General features: G+C 42.3%; 2 protein-coding genes across 26 annotated transcripts in view, besides 1 other annotated feature; one reads left to right on the top strand and one right to left on the bottom strand.

Moving 5' to 3' along the window:
- Positions 1-6,119, top strand: part of TIPIN (TIMELESS interacting protein) — a 50,527-nt gene extending 44,408 nt beyond the window's left edge. For all 12 annotated transcript variants that reach the window (NM_001398285.1, NM_001398281.1, XM_017022390.2 and 9 more), the window contains 2 exons: positions 954-1,160; positions 5,129-6,119. In NM_001398285.1, coding sequence (NP_001385214.1) covers positions 954-1,160; positions 5,129-5,352 — 431 coding nt within the window. In that variant the 3' untranslated portion in view covers positions 5,353-6,119. The remainder of the gene's footprint in view (positions 1-953; positions 1,161-5,128) is intronic.
- Positions 3,541-3,776: a silencer, noted in NCBI's record as "fragment chr15:66630872-66631107 (GRCh37/hg19 assembly coordinates)". NCBI's record gives its function as "represses an EF-1alpha promoter that drives an FKBP-Casp9 reporter gene in an ReSE screen in HepG2 liver carcinoma cells {active_cell/tissue: HepG2}" and the evidence as "EXISTENCE:reporter gene assay evidence [ECO:0000049][PMID:32094911]".
- The window catches only part of DIS3L (DIS3 like exosome 3'-5' exoribonuclease), a 40,590-nt gene continuing 27,495 nt past the window's right edge, over positions 8,412-21,506 (bottom strand). For 13 of the 14 annotated variants that reach the window (NM_133375.5, NM_001323937.2, NM_001323936.2 and 10 more), the window contains 8 exons: positions 19,376-19,623; positions 18,725-18,817; positions 15,946-16,479; positions 13,186-13,340; positions 12,911-13,089; positions 10,290-10,435; positions 9,400-9,574; positions 8,412-9,306 (listed from right to left, as the gene is read on the bottom strand). In NM_133375.5, the coding sequence (NP_588616.1) occupies positions 8,998-9,306; positions 9,400-9,574; positions 10,290-10,435; positions 12,911-13,089; positions 13,186-13,340; positions 15,946-16,479; positions 18,725-18,817; positions 19,376-19,623 (1,839 nt within the window). In that variant the 3' untranslated portion in view covers positions 8,412-8,997. The other variant, XM_005254146.5, reaches the window with a different exon arrangement.

Here is a 21,506-nt window from a genome sequence, read left to right as displayed (position 1 = left end):
GTTTAATGTAGAACAAGAATATGGTTTGGATTCCTTAAGCTCTTTGATTAGGCCAAGCATAAAATATTTCTAATTACAATCAAGAACTTTTTGTTTCTTTCTTTTTTTTTTTTTTTTTTTTTTGAGACAGTCTTGCTCTGTAGCCCAGGCTGGAGTGCAGTGGCGCAATCTTGCTCACTGCTGCCTCCGCCTCCCGGGTCCCGGTTCAAGCAATTCTCCTGCCTCAGCCTCCTGAGTAGCTGGGATTATAGGCATGCGCCACCATGCCCAGCTAATTTTTGTATTTTTAGTAGAGATGGGGTTTCACCATGTTGGCCAGACTGGTCTTGAACTCCTGACCTCATGATCCACCCGCCTCGGCTTCCCAAAGTGTTGGGATTACAGGCGTGAGCCACCGCGCCCGGCCTTCATGCATATTTTAAATTGTATTTTTATTTGACTTAGCATTCCTCTTTAAACTGATTTATAAATATTTCTTATTTAATTGAATCAAGCATGTATTCACAACATTCTTTTTTTTTTTTTTTTTTTTTTTTTTTTTTGAGACGGAGTCTCGCTCTGTCGCCCAGGCTGGAGTGCAGTGGCGGGATCTCGGCTCACTGCAAGCTCCGCCTCCCGGGTTCACGCCATTCTCCTGCCTCAGCCTCCCAAGTAGCTGGGACTACAGGCGCCCGCCACTACGCCCGGCTAATTTTTTGTATTTTTAGTAGAGACGGGGTTTCACCGTGTTAGCCGGGATGGTCTCGATCTCCTGACCTCGTGATCCGCCCGCCTCGGCCTCCCAAAGTGCTGGGATTACAGGCGTGAGCCACCGCGCCCGGCCCACAACATTCTTATACTTCACAAATTGTTTTTTCAGGTCTGTCACCTTGCCACTTTAAATTCTTTTTCAATGAGAAGCCCTTCTCTAACTAGTCTAACACCACAGATGTACTATTTCTTTTCTATTGCAGATGAAGTTGCGGAGAATAATGAACATGATGTCACTTCTACTGAATTAGATCCCTTTCTGACAAACTTATCTGAAAGTGAGATGTTTGCTTCTGAGTTAAGTAGAAGCCTAACAGAAGAGCAACAACAAAGAATTGAGAGAAATAAACAACTGGCCTTGGAAAGAAGGCAGGCAAAGCTGCTGAGTAATAGTCAGACCCTAGGAAATGGTAAATTTTATGCCAAATTTTATATGCTACCATTAATATATCAAGGACATGTTAGAAATTTTAACTTCTCTGCTAGCCCCCAAAATAAAATACTTCTAGGAGTGGAAAAGTGTGATATTAAGTTTATGTATATTTTAGAGACAGTGTGTGTGAGAGAGGAGAGAGAGAATGGCTGTGTTCCTTAAAGAATAAATGAATCCAAGATGGTTTTCTGGATAGCTGAGTACCTCTTAAAAAATTATTTTAATCACCTGGCCAGGCGTGGTGGCTCATGCCTGTAATCTCAGCACTTTGGGAGGCCAAGGTAGGTGGATCGCTTGAGGTCAGGAGTTCAAGACCAGCCTGGCCAACATGATGAAACCCCATCTCTACTAAAATTACAAAAATTAGCCAGGTGTGGTGGTGCACACCAGTAATCCCAACTACTTGGGAGGCTGAGGTACGAGAATCACCTGAATCAAGAAGGTGGAGATTGCAGTGAGCCAAGATCGTGCCACTGCACTCCAGCCTGGGTGACTTGAGTGAGACGCTCTCAAAAAAAAAAGAATTTATTTTAATCACTTGAAATTGATTTTAAATTCTTAATAAACATTCTTCCCTGACTCCTTAAAGCATGTGCCATATACTATTACCTTTAGGACAATAATTATAACAATAAATAAAGAAAAAAATAGGCCAGGTGCAGTGGCTCATGCCTGTAATCCCAGCACTTTAGGAGGCCAAAGTGGGCCATCACCCGAGGTCAGCAGTTCAAGACCAGCCTGGCCAACATGGTGAAACCCCACCTCTACTAAAAATACAAAAATTAACTGTGCATGGTGGTGTGCACCTGTAATCCCAGCCACTTGGGAGGCTGAGGCAGGAGAATTGCTTGAACCCAGGAGGCAGAGGTTGCAGTGAGCTGAGATCAACCCATTGCACTCCAGCCTGGGCAACAAGAGCAAAACTCCATCTCAAAAAAAAAAAAAAAAAAAAAAAGGCCAGGCGCAGTGGCTCACGCCTGTAATCCCAGTACTTTGGGAGGCTGAAGTGGGTGGATCACAAGGTCAGGAGATCGAGACCATCCTGGCCAACATGGTGAAAACCCGTCTCTACTAAAAATACAAAAATTTGCCGGGCATGGTGGTGTGTACCTGCCTGTAAACCCAGCTGCTTGGGAGGCTGAGGCAGGAGAATCGCTTGAACCTGGGAGGTGGAGGTTGCAGTGAGCTGAGATCGGGCCACTGCACTCCAGCCTGGGTGACAGAGCAAGACTCCGTCTCAAAAAAAAAAAAATGCTTTTTCTTGTGTTTTGTCACTTGGTTGTGAGCTGTACTTTTGAAAGTAGCTGTTTAATTTGCTTATCTTTAGCATTCCCTTTTCACTTCTAAAACTGCCTGAAGATTTGCTTTATTAAAAAATATATTATTAGTATTTTTAGAAACGTTGTCAATCTGTCACCCAGGCTAGAGTGCAGTGGTGTGATCTTGACTCACTGCAGCCTTGAACTTCTAGTCTCAAGCAATCCTCCAGCATTGGGCTTCCAAAGTGCTGGGATTGCAGGTATGAGCCAGTGTACCTGGCCTAAATTTGCTGTTTTTAACACACATTGTGGGTTTGGAAACTATATAACCAAATTTGTTAAAACTATATTTAGAAAGAATTGCAAGTTGGTTTTGAATGAAGTAAGCAGGATTGCGTATATCTTTCTTAATTTCCCATTCAGTTTTTCCTTTCAAAATGGAAAAATAAGAATTATAGGCCCAGCACAGTGTCTCTTGCCTGTAATCCCAGCACTTTGGGAGGCTGAGGTGGGCAGATCACTTGAGCCTGGGAGTTCAAGACCAGCCTGGGCAACATAGTGAGTCCCCGTCTCTACAAAAAAAAAAAGAATTATAATAACTAGATACCATGTTGTAAACGAAGTTTCACCCAATATATTAACATTTTTAAGTGAAAATTATTTTGGCTACTTTTTTTTTCAGTTAAGATGAATTTACTTTTTCTTTTTGCTTTTTTTTTTTTTTTTTTTTTTTTTTGAGATGGAGTCTTGCTCTGTAGCTCAGGCTGGAGTGCAGTGGCGTGATCTTGGCTCACTGCAACCTCTGCCTCCCGGGTTCAAGCAGTTCCCCTGCTTCAGCCTCCTCAAGTAGCTAGGACTACAAGTGCGTGCCCCCATGCCTGGCTAATTTTTGTATTTTTAGTAGAGAAGGGATTTCACTGTGTTGGCCAGGGTGGTCTTGAACTCCTGACCTAGTGATCTGCCTGCCTCAGCCTCCCAAAGTCCTGGGATTACAGGTGTGAGCCACCATGCCCAGCTGAATTTACTTTTTCCTTTTTTTTTTTTTTTTTTTTTTGAGACGGAGTCTTGCTCTGTCACCCAGGCTGGAGTGCAATGGCGTGATCTCGGCTCACTGCAAGCCCCGCCTCCCGTGTCCATGCCATTCTCGTGCCTCAGCCTCCCGAGTAGCTGGGACTACAGGTGCCTGCCACCACGCCTGGCTAATTTTTTGTATTTTTAGTAGAGACAGGGTTTCACCGTATCAGCCAGGATGGTCTCGATCCCCTAACCTCGTGATCCACCCACCTCGGTCTCCTAAAGTGCTGGGATTACAGGTGTGAGCCACCGCACCTGGCCAATTTACTTTTTCTTTATAAATGGATGTTTTATTAGTACCATGTGAAACATTACATGAAGATAGCATTATTCTTGATGGCAGTGGCTTCTTTGCTGTCAATATCAAGTATACCTGGCAGTTGGTATTTAAAGCTCACCTCTGTTTATCATATACAACTTAAAATTTGTCCAAATGGAAATAAGTACTTTAAAGTTTCTTATGGATCACTCTGACATAAAACCTAAACGCACTTGGTTTTTATTAGACCTCTTTCTAGTAGTTTTCAGTTTTGTTTTTTTAGATGGGGCCTCACTGTATTGCCCAGGCTGGAGTGCAGTTGCTGATCTCGGCCCACTGCAACCTCCGCCTCCTAGGTTCAAGCGATTCTCCTGTCCCAGCCTCCCGAGTAGCTGGGATTACAGGCGTGCTCCACCATGTCCGGCTAATTTTTGTATTTTTTGTAGAGGCAGGGTTTCACCATATTGGCCAGACTGGTTTCAAACTCCTGACCTTGAGTGATCTGCCTGCCTCAGCCTCCCAAAGTGCTGAGATTACAGGCATGATCCACTGTGCCTGGCCAATAGTAGTTTGATTTTGAATAAGAACAGTTACATTTGACTATGATCCAAGAGTGTGAGTTGAATAACATTCAAAACCATTTTGCTTTTTTTTTGTTTTTTTTTGGTTATAGGATCTCACTTTGTCACCCAGGCTGGAGTGCAGTGGCACGATCATGGTTCGCCACCATAGCCAGCTAATTATTTTTTTTTTTATTTTATTTTTTTTGATGTTTTGTTGACATGGGGTCTCACTATGTGGCCCAGGCTGGTCCTGAACTCCTGAGCTCCAATGATCCTCCCACATTGTTGGGATCGGGCCTGGCCTCTCTTGCATTTAAAATGGATCTTAATTGTATAAAAATGGGCTTATTGGCTAGGCGTGGTAGCTCACGCCTGTAATCCCAGGACTTTGGGAGCCTGAGGCGGGTGGATCACCTGAGGTCAGGAGTTCGAGACCAGCCTGGCCAACATAGTGAAACCCTGTCTCTTCTAAAAATACCAAAATTAGCCGGGTGTAGTGGCGGGTACCTGTAATCCCAGCTACTCGGGAGGCTGAGGCAGGAGAATCACTTGAACCCGGTGGAGGTTGCAGTGAGCCCAGATCGTGCGATTGCACTCCAGCCAAAGTGATGGAGCGAGACTCCATCTCAAAAAAAAAAAAAAAGATATATTTAGAAGAAAGTGATCATAATTAACATTAAGTGATCTTAGACTTCATTTTACTAAACTGAGCTTTTGAAGAGGTTTGTACTCATGCGGTAAGATTGGATCAGGTACTTATAATGAATAATAATGGTATGATTTCTTTCAGATATGTTAATGAATACACCCAGGGCACACACGGTTGAAGAGGTTAATACTGATGAGGATCAAAAGGAGGAGTCAAATGGATTAAACGAAGACATTCTGGACAATCCATGTAATGATGCTATTGCCAATACTTTAAATGAAGAGGAAACACTGCTGGACCAGTCTTTTAAAAATGTGCAACAGCAACTTGATGCTACATCCAGAAATATTACTGAAGCTAGATAAGTTTCCATTAAGAGAAAATGTATCTGTTAAGTCATCGTCCTGCAAGCTTGGCGTTACTATGTATTTTTTCTTCTTGGAGTGAAAATCCTTAGATAGTAAAACTGTTATAGATTATTGTTTAAAATCTGATAATCTGGTATTTATTTATAATTATGCTTGTCACTTTAGTTAAATCTATTTGTTCTCTTTAGTGTTTGTTTTTATATAGGTATTTCTTCATAAAATGATTAGGAGGTAATAAGCAGTTTCTGCTGCTGGTCTGTCATTGAATGCCTTGTTTTCACTAAGTTGGGAGGTTTTGTTTCTGTTTTTTACTGCTCCTTGCAAAGCAGGGCTAATCCATGGACAGTGTGCCCAGAGTAGTCTAGTTGAAGTTTTTTGTTTTGTTTTGTTTTGTTTTTTTTGACACAGAGTCTCACTCTGTTGGCCAGGCTGGAGTGCAGTGGCACAGTCTTGGCTCACTGCAACCTCTGCCTCCTGGGCTCAAGCAATTCTCCTGCCTTAGCCTCCCGAGTAGCTGGGACTACAGGCGTGTGCCACCACGCTTGGCTAATTTTTGTACTTTTAGTAGAGATGAGGTTTCACCATGTTGGCCAGGCTGGTCTCAAACTCCTAACCTCAGGTAATCCGCCCCCCTCGGCCTCCCAAAGTGCTGGGATTACAGGTGTGAGCCACCGCGCCCAGCCTGGGTGAAGTTTTGAGATGTACATATATACTGAATATTAATGTCAATTTTTTAAAAGAAGTAAAAATTATCTTAAAAACTATCTACAGGCTTTATGGGAGGTTTTCATTGCTATATAGTTCTGCAGTTTACACTTTTGGTAAATACAAGATTTTTACATGTTTTCTAAGGAGTTACTTTAATAGTTAAAAGGTCACATGAAAGGCCGATACATTGCCTGGCCCTCATAGGTGCTAGGGTAGTTCAAAGAATGCTTTTTGGGAACTTACTGACTAGTTGGAGTGAAACTTGCAAAGTATCGTGGGGAACATAGCATCTCGGGAGGATTTACAGGAAAGACTTTGCTTTTGGTGGAGGAGATTCCAAGTATTGGGAAGCACATGTACAATAATGATACAGAAATAAGATTAAGGGGATAAGGCAGATTTTAGGAATGCTGATTTTGAGGTTAGATGTGTTAGGGCCAAATCGTGAGAACACCTGATTGGAGTTCTTCCTGCCAGGTAGAGGGGGTAGTTACAAATAAGAAAGGTTAGTGTTAGGAAAGGCTCTCCCACCCCACCCCCTCACCCCTACCCACAGTCCCCCGCCACTATTGTGTGTGTGTGTGTGTGTGTGTTGGTCTCACTGTCACTCAGGCTGGAATACAGTGGCCCAATCCTAACTCACTGCAGTCTCAAACTCCTGGGGTTCAAGCAATCCTCTTGCCTTAGCTTCCCAAGTAGCTGCGACTGCAGACATGTACCACCATGCCTGGCTACTTTTTTAATTTTTGTAGAGATGGTGTCTCACTATGTTTACCAGGCTGGTCCTGGACTCCTGGCCTCAAGTGATCTTCCATGGCACTTGGCCTCTCACTCTCTTTTTCCTTGGGGAAAGGGCAGAGTGATGGTGCTATAGTGGCTTCCATCTGCAAAGCCAGGACAGGCAGGCATCTTCTCTTCAGGCTTTCTGACTTCAGGTGGGGACAGGAAGTGACAAAGATGGTTTGATTGAAAAGCCAGGAAGTTAGCTCAGGTGTGGTGGCTCACGCCTGTAATCCCAGCACTTTGGGAGGCTGAGGTGGGTGGATCACGAGGTCAGGAGATCGAGAACATCCTGGCTAACACAGTGAAACCCCGTCTCTACTAAAAATACACACACAAAAAATTAGCTGGGCATGGTGGCAGGCACCTGTAGTCCCAGCTACTCGGGAGGCTGAGGCAGGAGAATGGCGTGAACCTGGGAGGTGGAGCTTGCAGTGAGCCGAGATCGTGCCACTGCACTCCTGCCTGGGTGACAGAGCGACACTCCATCTCAAAAAAAAAAAAAAAAAATTTAAGAAAAGCCAGGAAGTTGAGCACAAGAACATCAAGGAGAACATCTGGGATGGGGGTGGGGGAGGGGTTTGTGGGCCTGCTGGGAACTGCCACAGGGATGGGCCAAGAAGCATGTGCATTAGGAGGATTGTGGCTAACTGCAGCCAATAGGGGATCAGCTAGAAGATGGAGAGCAGTTTCAAGATGCCAATGCCTATAGAAACTGCTTCCTCAGGAGGGCAGGTTCAGGCTTCTGTCTACCCTCACAAACTACATTAGATAACTGAGAAAGAAGAGTTAATTTTTCTTTTTTGAGATGGAGACTCGCTCTGTTGCCCAGGCTGGAGAGCTGTGGCGCAATCTCAGCTCACTGCAACCTCTGCCTCCTGGGTTCAAGCAGTTCTCTGCCTCAGCCTCCCAAGTAGCTGGGATTACAGGCACCTGCCACCACACAAGGCTAATTTTTGTATTGTTAGTAGAGATGGGGTTTCACCATGTTGGCCAGGATGGTCTTGATCTCTTGACTTTGTGATCCACCCCCCTCAGCCTCCCAAAGTGCTGGGATTACAGGCATGAGCTACTGTCCCTGGCCAATTTTTGTATTTTTAGTAGAGATGGGGTTTAATCATCTTGGCCAGGCTGGTCTTGAACTCCTGACCTTGTGATCCACCCGCCTCGGACTCCCAAAGTGCTGGGATTATAGGCGTGAGCCACTGCGCTCGGCCTAGAGTTAATTTTTCTAGTGGGGTGTTTGCTGGCAAAGTAACAAGTTTCCAACAAGGGGAAGGCCAATGCACCTCATCAAAATGGGAGAGTGGGAAGGAAGGCCTGTGACAGAACTTTACCTGTGCATCCTACCACCCGCCCTGTGTCCTAATCCCAGCTAGTACTGGAGACAGCAGGTAAGGGTTGAGTCAAATATGAAATAGGAATTTTTAAGTGGAGAAGTGGACTCAGGACTAAGTCTTATTATCTGAAAGTGACTGAAAATTACCTGACAAATGTCAGAGGGGCCTATGACCCAAACGTAATTACTGGAAAAATAAAACATTTGAAAGAACTGATTGGAGACGAGATAACCAGTAATTTCGGGTTTATTAAACTTATTAGAAAGGGGCCATCTGCAGAGCCACCACTTACTGTCCACTCATTACTGAAAACTCTGTTTCCATAGTGACCTAATTATACTTTATTTAATGCAACTTTAATGAATGAGAGAACTTTTTTTTTTTTTTTTTTTTTTTTTGAGATGGAGTCTCGCTCTGTTGCCCAGGCTGGAATGCAGTGGTGCGATCTCGGCTCACTGCAACCTCCTCTTCCTGGGTTCAGGCAATTCTCCTGCTTCAGCCTCCCAAGTAGCTGGGACTACAGGCGCATGCCACCACGCCGGGCTAATTTTTGTATTTTTAGTAGAGACTGGGTTTCACCGTGTTAGCCAGGATGGTCTCAATCTCCTGACCTCGTGATCCGCCCGCCTCAGCCTCCCAAAGTGCTGGGGTTACAGGCGTGAGCCACCGTGCCCGGCTGAGAACATTTTACATATATGCGAAATAGCTACCCAGTCCTGATCGACTAGAGCACTGAGTGACACACATTAAATGTTAAGTTTGAAAAGACTGTAAAACATTCACATATGACAGCTCTTAGTGAAGTAAGAGCCTCTCATATTCCATAATTGTTTGAAACATCCAGGAGAGCTAGGTCCCGTATCTCCTCTAGAAGTGTGTATAGGCTCCTTCCCTTTGTTTGGCGATATTCTTGATATTCCTCCTGAATGATGTTTACTTTGACTTCTTGGGCAAGCTGAGCTTCTTCCACAGATTTAGTTACTTCTTTCACTAACTCACTCTTCAGCAAGGGGGAACTCTGATGAATAAGTTCTGTATTTGGTATCTTGTATGGTTTGTTACTAATTATTTCAAGTCTGATTGTATCAGAATGGCAACGTGAGGCCTGTATGGATATTCTTACCTAGCATAGAGAAGAAAATACATATTACTAAATCACATTATTTATTCCTTACATTTAAAATATTAATAATACTTAATAGAAACACAGACTTACGGTTACATGGTCAAACAAATGGAACGTAACAGATTCCCCATCTGTTGTAGTAGAGGTAATTTTGTTTTGAAATCGTTGAAGGGATCCTGGTTTCCATTCAGAACAGCTATCTGGGCCACATGAGATGACTAAACCATCTTTATTTTTTAGATAAGCAGCACCTTTAATCCCAAACCTATATTATGACCAGAATATAAATCCAGAGACAATGTATTCTTAGTACACAGATCTTGTATGCTTATCTAGAATACTAGTTTTTCTCCTAGATTAAAAACAAATCACTTTTCCTGTGGTTTACCTCCACGTATTTATTTCACCTTAGCAGATGGAAACAAAGTATTTTGCTGGATAAGAAAGACCCTAAAATGGATATAGAAGTGTGTGTGTATATATATACACACACACACACACACACACACACACACTCCAGTCTTCACTTTTTTTTTTTTTTTTTGAGACAGAGTCTTGCTCTGTCGCCCAGGCTGGAGTGCAGTGGCACGATCTTGGCTCACTGCAACCTCTGCTTCCCGGGTTCAAGTGATTCTCCTGCCTCAGCCTCCCAGGTAGCTGGGATTTCAGGCATGCGTCACCATGCCCGGCTAATTTTTGTACTTTTAGTAGAGACGGGGTTTCACCATGTTGGCCAGGCTGGTCTCGAACTCCTGACCTCAGGTGATCCGCCCACCTTGGCCTCCCAAAGTGCTGGGATTATAGGCGTGAGCCACCCCTGGCCTCCAATCTTCACATTTATATACTGAATTATACATTACATTATGTACATATGATAACTAGTTGCTTAAATATTTTAATAAATTATATCTAATGTACAGTTTGTGTTCTACACTTTTAACTATGATTTCTTATGCACCATTGCATTAGATGTAACATACCTTGGTATAAATAGAAGCACACCATTTGTTCTAATTGAATAAATAACTCCGTCAGATATGCAACGCTCCTCGGTGGCAGGGTCTTTGTCTTTGAAGTACATGCACTGGAAGAGCTCAGTAGACTGCTTCTGAGAATGCTGTGCTGCCTGTAAGAAGCACAACTCCAAAGCATTTTAACACTCCCCTGGCATTCCCCAAAGAAACGAAATTCATATTCATTCAAATGTGAGATTCTGTAAAACTATTAATATAAAAATTGTTCTCTACTATGAAATTAAATTACTTTTTGTGGGAACTTAACCATCTAGTATTATCTCCTCAAAAATGTCTTAGAAAATGAATTATTTTATAAAATGAAACCCATTTATAGTTCATGAAATTAGAGATCAGCAAATTTGGGTCATGTTCACCTTGGGTACAGGAAAAGTATTACACATGTCTTACTTGCATTTCTTTTTTTTTTTGAGATATGGAGTCTCACTCTGTCACCCAGGCTGGAGTACAGTGGTGCAATCTCGGCTCACTGCAAGCTCTACCTCCTGGGTTCACGTCATTCTCCTGCCTCAGCCTCTGGAGTAGCTGGGACTACAGGCGCCTGCCATCACGCCCGGGTAATTTTTTGTATTTTTAGTAGAAATGGGGTTTCACTGTGTTAGCCAGGATGGTCTTGATCTCCTGACCTCGTGATCCGCCTGCCTCGGCCTCCCAAAGTGCTGGGATTACAGGCATGAGCCACCGCGCCCGGCCAGCCTTTCTTTCTTTTCAAGCCTGTCCAATGAAAACCCTATTGGTGGAAGTCTAAATTAGCACTACTGATAAGGAAGACAATTTAGTAATATGTATTAAAGTTTCTTTGTCTTCTTTTTGAGATGGAGTCTCACTCTATCGCCTAGGCTGGAGTGCAATGGCGCGATCTTGGCTCCCTGCAACCTCTGCCTCCCGGGTTCAAGTGATTCTCCTGCCTCAGCCGCCCGATTAGCTGGGATTACAGGCATGCACCACCATGCCTGGCTAATTTTTGTATTTTTAGTAGTAACGGGGTTTCACCATGTTGGCCAGGCTGCTCTGGAACTCCTGAACTCAGGTGATCCACCGGCCTCGACCTCGAAAAGTGCTAGGATTACAGTCGTGAGCCACTGCACCTGACCTATCAGTTTCATTTGTGCATGCACACCTTTTGGCTCAGCAATTCCATTTCTAGGAATTTTTCCAGGAAATCATCTGAAATGTCTGTATAAGTGTATCCATAAGGATGGTTATAAATTTGATTGCTTAGAACAGTGCTGCCCAACAGAACTTTCTGCAATGATAGAAATGCTCTCTATCTGTGTTGCCTAATATGTAGCCACTAACCACAAGTGGCCACTGAGCTATACAATGTGGCCAGTGTGACTGAGACACTGGCCAAATTTCTACTGAGACAAATTTCTACTTCTAATTTTAATTAAATTTAGGTAGTCCACATGGCTAGTGCTACAACATTGCACAGCAGACAACTATACCATTGGATATAGAAAATTACATTAAACATTTAGGTAGTTTCCAATTTCCTGCGTTACCCAATAGTCTAGTTCTATGCTGTGCAATCTTGTAGCAACTAGTAATATGAAATAGAATAGAAAGCAGCTTCAAAACAATGATATAACATGGTGTGCTATCAATAACAGTTGGGTTACATGAAAAAAGCAGATTCAAACAGCAGGCACGGTGTGATTTTTTTTTTTTAGACGGAGTTTCGCTCTGTCACCCAGGCCAGAGTGCAGTGGTGCAATCTCAGCTCACTGCAAGCTCCGCCTCCCGGGTTCACACCATTCTCCTGCCTCAGCCTCCTGAGTAGCTGGGACTACAGGCGCCTGCCACCATGCTAATTTTTTGTATTTTTAGTAGAGATGGGGTTTCACTGTGTTAGCCCGGATGGTCTCGATCTCCTGACCTCGTGATCCACCTGCCTCAGCCTCCCAAAGTACTGGGAATACAGGTGCAAGCCACCGCATCTGGCCGATATTTTTATAAATAAAAATGTTAGCAGTGTCTAGAATCATTAATTGTTAGCTCTGGGTGGTAAGATAACAGGTGATGTTTCTGTCTTCATATCTTTTTTTTTTTTTGAGACACAGTCTCAATTTTGTCACCCAGGCTAGAGTGCAGTGGTGTGATCTCGGCCCACTGCAATCTCCACCTCCTGGGTTCAAGAGATTCTCCTGCCTCAGCCTCCCAAGTAACTGGGACTACAGGCGCGTGCCATCACACCCGGCTAATTTTTGTATTTTTTGTAGAGATGGGGTTTCACCATATTGGCCAGGCTGGTCTCAAATTCCTGACCTCAAGTGATCCGCCCTCAAGTGAGCCACCACGTCTGGCCTCTGTCATCATATCTTTATGCGTTGCTTGAATCTTTACATTTCCACCTTTCGGAAAAAAAAAAATCTGATAATCTACCGTCAAATCTCCCAAATCCACAAGTTACCTGAGAACATCTACAAATGTTCTGAAAGCACTGGTTAGAATAATTCTAGAATTTAATTTGCTAGAATATATGATACTTCACGGTACTACACAATAAAGCTGATATTTTCTTAGCAAGAGATGACAGGTAAGAGAATTTTGAAATTCCCTCTTACTTGGTTTCTGTTGTTGATATGTCTGCATAATTCCTCAAGATCTTTGTTGCTGAACAGATTTCCCTTAATTTCCATTTTCTTATCTTTTGAAATGGCTGCCATTAACAAGCGGTGTACTACAATATCTGAATATCTTCTTATTGGAGAAGTAAAGTGGGTATATTTATCTAATGCAAGACCTTCAAAAAGAAAGCAAAAGATCAAAATAAACAAAAACTATTTTAAAATAACTAGCGCAAAGTTACAGCCACACATAGGAATATGGTATGATTCACCGTAATGATGGAACTCCTCCTCCGCACAGGATCCGGTGGAGAAGTACAGAGCATTCGACATGGCCTGCGTGGCCATGGAGCGCAGTAGCCTGTTCACAATGGGATCGTGGGGGTCGTTCGCATTATCCAGAGAATCAGCCAGTGTTTTATTGGACCTGACAAAGAACAGAAAAACCGTTAGCTAGTCCCAGACAGTAATTTACAAGACAACACTTTGAGGGGAACCCTTCACTCATCCGTCTGAATACCTTCATCTGCCAGTAAATTTGTTTTGGACACGTTTCAGAAGCACCTCTTTTCAACTACAGAAATCTAGTTTGCTTTACGGCTTAAACAAAACAAGAGTGTCAGAATTTAAATACATTTCTTAAGTAGAAATGAATCATGTACTGATTTTAATACTAGGTTAAGTTAGTGCTTGGCTATAATAGGTGGTCAAATACTCGTTGAATTGAATTCTTTACATCCTTAACCTTAAACATTCTATATATAGGTAAAATAATGGACTTGGTGTACAAGTAAAAGAAACCTAAATTAGTTTTTCTTTTTTAAAGAGGTAGTAAGCATTCTATTTATTTATTCTCAAAATAATTTTTTTGTAGAGACAGGGTCTCACTTTGTTGCCCAGGCTAGTCTTGAACTCCTGGCCTTCAGTGATCCTCCTGCCTCGGCCTCCCAAAGTGCTGGGGTTACAGGTGTGAGCCACTGCATACAGCCTCAAAATAATAATTTCAAAGCCCCAGGAAATATAGAGGTATATTAAAAATAAAACTAATAACATATAATTCAGTCCTATATTGTGGCTGGCTAAGGGAAAAGGGGGAAAGGAGAAATAGAGCATGATGATGAACAGAGAGGCAAGGTGTTAAGTGGTCACTATGTGAGCTTGCAAGTTTAACAGACTTGGATTCAAATCTTGGCTCTGCCCTGACTGTTAAATTACAGGCAAATTACTTAATCTCTTCAGACTTAATTGACTTATCTGTAAATATGAATGATGCTGCCATCACCTCAGCATTAAGAATTAACCAAGAGGATGTCTGAAAGCCCTTGTCCCATGTGCCTGGCATGCAGACAGCTCATACAGTGACCATACAGAGGCTGGAGTGTAGTGGCACAATCTTGGCTCACTGCAACTTCTGCCTCCCAGGTTCAAGCGATTCTCGCACCTCAGCCTCTGAGTAGCTGGGATTACAAGAGTGCGCCATGCCTGGCTCGTTGTATTTTTAGCAGAGAGAGTTTCATCATGTTGGCAAGGCTGGTCTTGAACTCCTGACCTCAGTGATGTGCCTGCCTCAGCCTCCCAAAGTGCTAGGATTACAGGTGTGAGCCACTGTACCCAGCCTATACTTAGTTTTTATTTATTTATTTATTTATTTTTGAGACAGAGTCTCGCTCTGTCACCCAGGCTGGAGTGCAGTGGTGCGATTTTGGGTCACTGCAACCTCCGCCTCCCGGGTTCATGCCATTCTCCTGCCTCAACCTCCCAAGTAGCTGGGATTACAGCACCTGGCTAATTTTTTGTATTTTTAGTGGAGATGGGGTTTCACCGTGTTAGCCAGAATGGTCTCGATCTCCTGACCTCGTGATCTGCCCGCCTCGGCCTCCCAAAGTACTGGGATTACAGGCATGAGCCACTGTGCCCAGCCTGCCTATACTTGGTTTTTAATGAAAGAAGTATTTTATCCTAGAGATAGGGAGTAAAAATGTCTCACTCAATTGAGGGTGGTATAAATTCACTGTTGGTGTAGTATCTTATGATATTGTCACAAAGATGCTGCATTTTAAAAGTACTGAAATAAATAGGATTATTTCTTTGTAACTTAAGGGGTACATGAAATTAAATCAAGGGTAACTAACAGGTTCCCTACTTCTGTATTACAAATTATGGTGGGTCAGCCACACACAGTGGCTCATGCCTATAATCCCAGCACTTTGGGAGACCGAGACGGGCGAATCATGAGGTCAGGAGTTTGAGACCAACCTGACCAACATGGTGAAACCCTGTCTCTACTAAAAATACAAAAATTAGCCAGGCGTGGTGGCACATGCTTGTAATCCCATATACTCAGGAGGCTGAGTCAAGAGAATCGCTTGAACCTGGGAGGCGGAGGTTGCAGTGAGCCAAGATTGTGCCACTGCACTCCAGCCTGGATGACAGAGCGAGACTCTATCTCAAAGAAAAAAAAAAAACCAACCGAACAAAAAAACCCAAATTGTAGTGGGTCAAAATTATGCCTAAATGTCCAGTGTGGTGGCTCATGCCTATAATCCCAGCAGTTTGGGAGGCCGAGGCAGGTGGATCACTTGAGGTCAGGAGTTCAAGACCAGCCTAGCCAACATGGCGAAACCCTGTCTCTACTAAAAATACAAAAAAATTAGCCAGGCATGGTGGCGTGTGCCTGTAGTCCCAGCTACTCAGGAACCTGAGGCAGGAGAGTCACTTGAACCTGGGAGGTGGTGGTTGCAGTGAGCCGAGATCATACCACTGTACTCCAACCTGGGTGACAGAGCAAGACTCTATCTAAAAAAAAATTGAAACAAAAAACCAAGGAACAAAATTATGCCTAAATAAACTTGTTTTAAGTCTCTATACATAACAATGAAGAGGGAAAAATGTGTCTTCAAAAATGAGGAGAGCCAAGAATCTGTTTTCTCTTTTTGGTCAAAGATCTGGCTGTCACATTTTAAGAACAACTGTAAGATAACTAAATATACAGCATGCCACTCCATTCCTCTGCCCCCTCAAAAGAGGAATACCGTGTATCTATGAAGAAGCCTTTGGCTTTAGCACATTCCCGGAGTTCTGAAAAGAACTCCTGGTGTGGAGGAGGGTGCTGGCGCAGCAAGGCCTGATGAGGGAAGCTCTCCCAGATCTTTTTGGCGACCCAGTGGTTGGCCAGGATCATGCATTCAGCCACTGTCTCGTGGACTTCCAGGGGCTGCTTGGGGATGAGGTCGTGAATGTTCTTTTTGTCATCTAGCTGTACGCAAACCTCTACCCCTTCCAGTTCCAGGGCACCACATCCGTCTCGTTTAGCTCTGACATGGCGAGCTATGTCGGTCAGCTTTCCAATTGCCCACACCAACTCCTCCAGCTTGGCTTGTCTGCTCTTCTCATCCAAGTCTTTGAATTCTGGAATATCATCAACAACGCTTAAGTTTCCATCCAGTAGTTCTTGGGCTGCTTCATAGAACAGTTTGTATGCTGATCGAATAATGGTTCTGCCATACCACACTTTCTTAATTTCATAAGAGGCTTTATCCAGTTCCCACATGATGCTTACAGCATACCTACAAAAACAGTAACATTGACAACATCACTATTCAAATTCATCTGGCTTTTTTTGTTTTTTGTTTTTTTGAGACAGGATCTTGCTCTGTCACCCAGGCTGGAGTGCAATGGCATGATCACTGCTCACTGCTGCCTCAATCTCCTGGACTTGAGCAATTCTCCTGCCCAAAGTGCTGCGATTACAGGTGTAAGCCACCATGCCCCACCTAAGTCTTCTATTTTTGAAGCAAGTGGAATTTGACCTAACTGTAACTTAAAAGAAATTACAAAGCTACAGGTTTCTGGTTTGTCAATCCAACCACCTTACAACTAAATCAAAAAATATTTTAAATTAAAACAACAAAGTTAGACTGGGGACTGTTGAGCTCTGAACAAATTTGAAATGAGTTCATATGTGACATTACAAACCTTACTTTATGTCCTCCATTTTTTTCTTGAGATGGAGTCTTGCTCTGTTGCCTAGGTGGGAGTGCAGTGGTGCGATCTCGGCTCACTGCAACCTACCTCTTCCTGGTTCAAGTGATTCTCCTGCCTCAGCCACCTGAGTAGCTGGGACTATAGGCGTGCACCACCATGCCTGGCTAATTTTTTCTATTTTAGTAGAGACGGGGTTTCACTGTGTTGCCCAGGCTGGCCTCAAACTCCTGAGCTCTGGCAATCCACCTGCCTTGGCCTCCCGAAGTGCTAGGATTATAGGCGTGAGCCACCGTGCCCGGCCATGTCCTCTATTTTGATTAGAAAAGCATGACACTGATAGAGTCAAGTCTTTTTAGCTCAGTAAATTAGAGCAAAGTCTTGCAAATCCTACAGGATGGCACTGAACTGTGATATCAATCTTGATGACAGATAAATTAGCAAAAATTTCATTTAGTAAAAAAACTCTTTGCCACCAAGTCATTTTATTTAAAAAAAAGGTATACATTTGGAACTCATAAAAAACATAGGGCTAATTTTCCTAATATGTAAAGAGCTTTTACAAATTAATCAGTAATTGATCTTGAATCCAAAAGAAAAATGGGCGAAGAATATAGTTAACAGAAAGGGATACATAAGTGACAAACATACGAAAAAATGGTTAGCTTTATTTGTAATGCAAATTAAAACCAATCTAAGATACCATTTTTCATCTATCAAATTGGCAAAGATAAAAAAATACAACATATTGTGTTGGCAAGGCTATAGGAAAATATGCACTCTCATACATTGGTGACAGGAATATAACTGGTGTAACATTTAAGAAGGGCAATTTGATTATATTGATCTAAACACAAATGCACATACTCTTGACACAGAAATCCCATAATCAAATATGGGAATTTCTCTTTCACATATACTGTATTTTAAAAAATGTGAAATGGTCTGGGCATGGTGGCTTACATCTGTAATCCCAGCTTTTTGGGTGGCCAAGGCGGAAGGATCACTTGAGCACAGGAGTTCAAGACCAGCCTGGGCAACATGTGAAACTCTGTCTCAAAAAATAAAAATAAAAATGAAAATGTGAAATGACTTATGTTCAAAGTTAACTCAGTACAGCTTTGTTTGTAATACCAAAAGATTGGAAACTATCCAAATTTCCATAGATAGTGCAACTGTTATTAATACGGAATGATCTCCAAGATACCATTAAGTTCTTTTTTAAAAGGAAGGTGCTAAACAGTATATATATATAAAATGCAACCATTTGTGTAAAAAAGATCACATATGCATATTCATGTATGTATTATATCTAGAAAAACTAATACGGAACTGGTAAGTGAGGGAAAGTGATAGGGAGGAACCTTTCATTAAATACCTCTTGGGACATATGAGTTCGGGCCTATATGATTCTATTAGCTATTCAAAGAGAAACAAAGTTTAAACTCAACAAATGAACAAACAAAAAACTCCCCGAGTTCATGATCCTCATGCCAAACAACTTCCGCCAGGGAATGCATAAGCACAAAGCTACATACATTTGTTCTCAGATTTTAGCTGACTTTAAAAAGCCAGCAACAGAGGGAGACGCAGAGCCCCACTGCTAGCAGACAGAAGAGAGGAGGGAAAGGGCAGGGAAGGCTAGAGAAATAAAGCTGCCTAAAGATAAGTGGTGTGGGGTTGGGGTCGGGGGTGAGGTTGAGAGGTCAGAGGGGAGACACAGGGCTGGGGTGGGGCATAGCAGAGAAGAAACATGAGGCCAGAAGCAGGCAGCATCAGGAGCCACAGAAGGGCCAGGACAAGCTTTGAAGACAAAAGCCATAAACTCACCTATCAACGCCTCCCAGAAGGGAACACAAATCTGCACTGAGGACGGAAGGCAGCATGTCATAGCGACGATCTGCTAGATAATAAGTGGTGGCCCTGTGAATGACACACACGCGGCAACGCGACCTTTAGCAGGGAGAAGCAGAACTGCTGACTGTGTGGGCCGCAGGGAGGTAAATGGCCAAAATCTCACTACAGATTCCCCAAGGCTGTTGCTGTTTCATAAAGTGCAGCAGACTGGGTAATAAAACTATTCCCATGGTCCCACTTTTCTAAGTGACACTGCTTTGGGCTGAATATTCTTCCACTGATAAGAGAAAGAAAGAGCAAGTGACATGAATCTTTGTCGTATAAGAAAAACTGGAGTGTAATGATCCAGTATTTTTAAAAAATAGTATATTACTACATGAAAATTTAACCCATTTCGATTTAGTAGGAAACAATGTGTGAAAAGGTTATGTTAAAAAGCAAAGGTAAATTGATCAAGGTACTGTTTTTCTAAAGGAAAATGGAGAGTGGACCTCAACTTTTTTTTTCTGGAAGGGACCTTCAAAATTGCACAAACATGAGATCTTTGAACACCTGAAACTAGTACAGACACAAAATATCCAGTCACATACACACAACCATAGAGCTGATTTCAAATAGCATTACCTTGTTCTAGCTTCAATATCAATGTAAGAATTTGGTGCCACAAAGTGTGTTACATCTGCGATGTGGACCCCAAGTTCCAGGTTGCCATTATTTAAGGTTCTGACTGAGAGTGTGTCATCCACATCTTCACAACCTTTGGGGTCAATGCTGAATACGAGATGGCTTTTCCTCAAGTCTTTACGTTTTTGTTCCTCTTCAGGACTCACCTTCCAGGGACTTTCTGGTGTGTTTACTGGCATCTCACACATCTGTATGAGAAACCAAATATTCAGCAATTCATGCACCACAAATTTCTGTAAAAATCCACTCACTAATATTCTCAGTATGACCACATAGAAATTCATTCATTCTCAATTACCTTCTTCATCAACCTATGTTGGCTTCCTTTGATCAATAATTGTTTACTAGGTGCCTCAGATATCCCAGGTACTGTGCTGGGCTCTGGAAAGTCAGGAGTCAACAAGAAAGACAAAGTCCTACACCCCTGAGGACCCTTACAGTTGGACAGAAAATGTCCCACAACTTCTACCAGCCTCTTTAGTTACAGGGGCTTGGAACAAGAGTACAACATGTAGCCCATTTTCAAATGATCCATTTGTTTAAATGTAGTCAAGCTTTAAATTTAAGCCTTGAAAAAAATAATCAACATGTTCCAAATATTAAAAGCTTACCCCTTAAAGATAATTTTATACAGGACCTATCTAGGGCATTTTCTCTCCATTATTATCTGTTTAAGCCATCAATTTGCAGTTAAGTAGGCTAAAAGGGAAGAGAAAATTCTAGTCCTATGATGTATAGCCCACACTTTATTTTATTGTAACATTTTCACTAAGAGCTGCCAAACAAGTCAACAAATAATTTCCAGAAACTAATGTTAAATATAAAAATTTAATGATGTAAAATATTCTAAAATAGTTTACTATGATAGCTCCCGTTCTGTGAAAAACTTTAATGAAAATAAGAACACCCAGACACTCCTTATGGTAATGCAAATGGGTCCAATTTTTCTGGAGAACAATCTGCTTGTACATATTAGAAGCTATTTAAATCTTTTATACCCTTTGACTTGGTAATCTCACTTTAAGGATTACATTCCAAGAGAATGATCAAAAAGAAATTAAAAAGCGGTGTTTATAAAAATGTTCAAAGTAACATTTTTTTTTTTTTTTTTGAGACAGTCTCGCTCTGTCACCCAGGCTGGAGTGCAGCGGTGCGATCTCGGCTCACTGCAACCTCCGCCTCCCTGGTTCAAGCAATTCTCCTGCCTCAGCCTCCCGAGTAGCTGGGATTATAGGCGCCCACCACTAGGCCTAGATACTTTTTTTGTGTGTTTTTAGTAGAGACGGGGTTTCATCATGTTGGCCAGGCTGGTCTCAAACTCCTGACCTGGTGATTCACCTGCCTTGGCCTCCCAAAGTGCTGGGATTACAGGCATGAGCCACCACGCCTGGCCTACATTTTTTTATAACACTGAAAAGTTAGACAGCTGAATGCCCAAAAATCAAGAAATGCTTAAGCAAACTAGGGTACGTCAATATACCGTAATTTACCATAACCATTAAAATAAGTAGGCTATGTCAATATATAAAAATAATTTTAAGTGAAAGAAGCAGAACAGAAATTAGTGTGTGCACACAATGAATATAGTCATTCAAGAATAATACACAAGATTTATGAGGGTTTTAAAAGATCATAAAGTGATGGAAATAGCTGATGTTTTATGTTTATGAGATTTTTGTTTTCTGTAAAGGTCACAAAAACTGTTTCATAATGAGCATAATTTTTGACCCATGGGTTGGAGATGTATGGATCCCAGGAATCCACCCCCTGCAGCTTTATGCAGCCTCTGGTTGAATGATTTGGACAGAGAGTGTGGAGCTCAGTTGGGTCTGTAACTAGGTGTCCTTGTAGTTGCTGGGGATGGATGTATACTGACTATGAGACACTGACATATCATTTTTAAGCCCAGTTGGAAAATATAAAAATTTGAGAGCTATGAGGCTATAGAAAACTAATTCTACACTTGAAGCTGACTTCAGTTTGGTCCAAATATAGAATAAAGAGGATTGAGATTTTTCCATTATCTGTGCCTTCACACAGTGGGTTGTTCCACAGCACAAAGACTTTTCTT

Source organism: Homo sapiens, chromosome 15 (assembly GCF_000001405.40).
Source record: "Homo sapiens chromosome 15, GRCh38.p14 Primary Assembly".
In the NCBI taxonomy this organism is placed as follows: Eukaryota; Metazoa; Chordata; class Mammalia; order Primates; family Hominidae; genus Homo; species Homo sapiens.
Note: the sequence above shows the minus strand (reverse complement) of the source record. Positions and strands in the feature narration are given on the sequence as shown.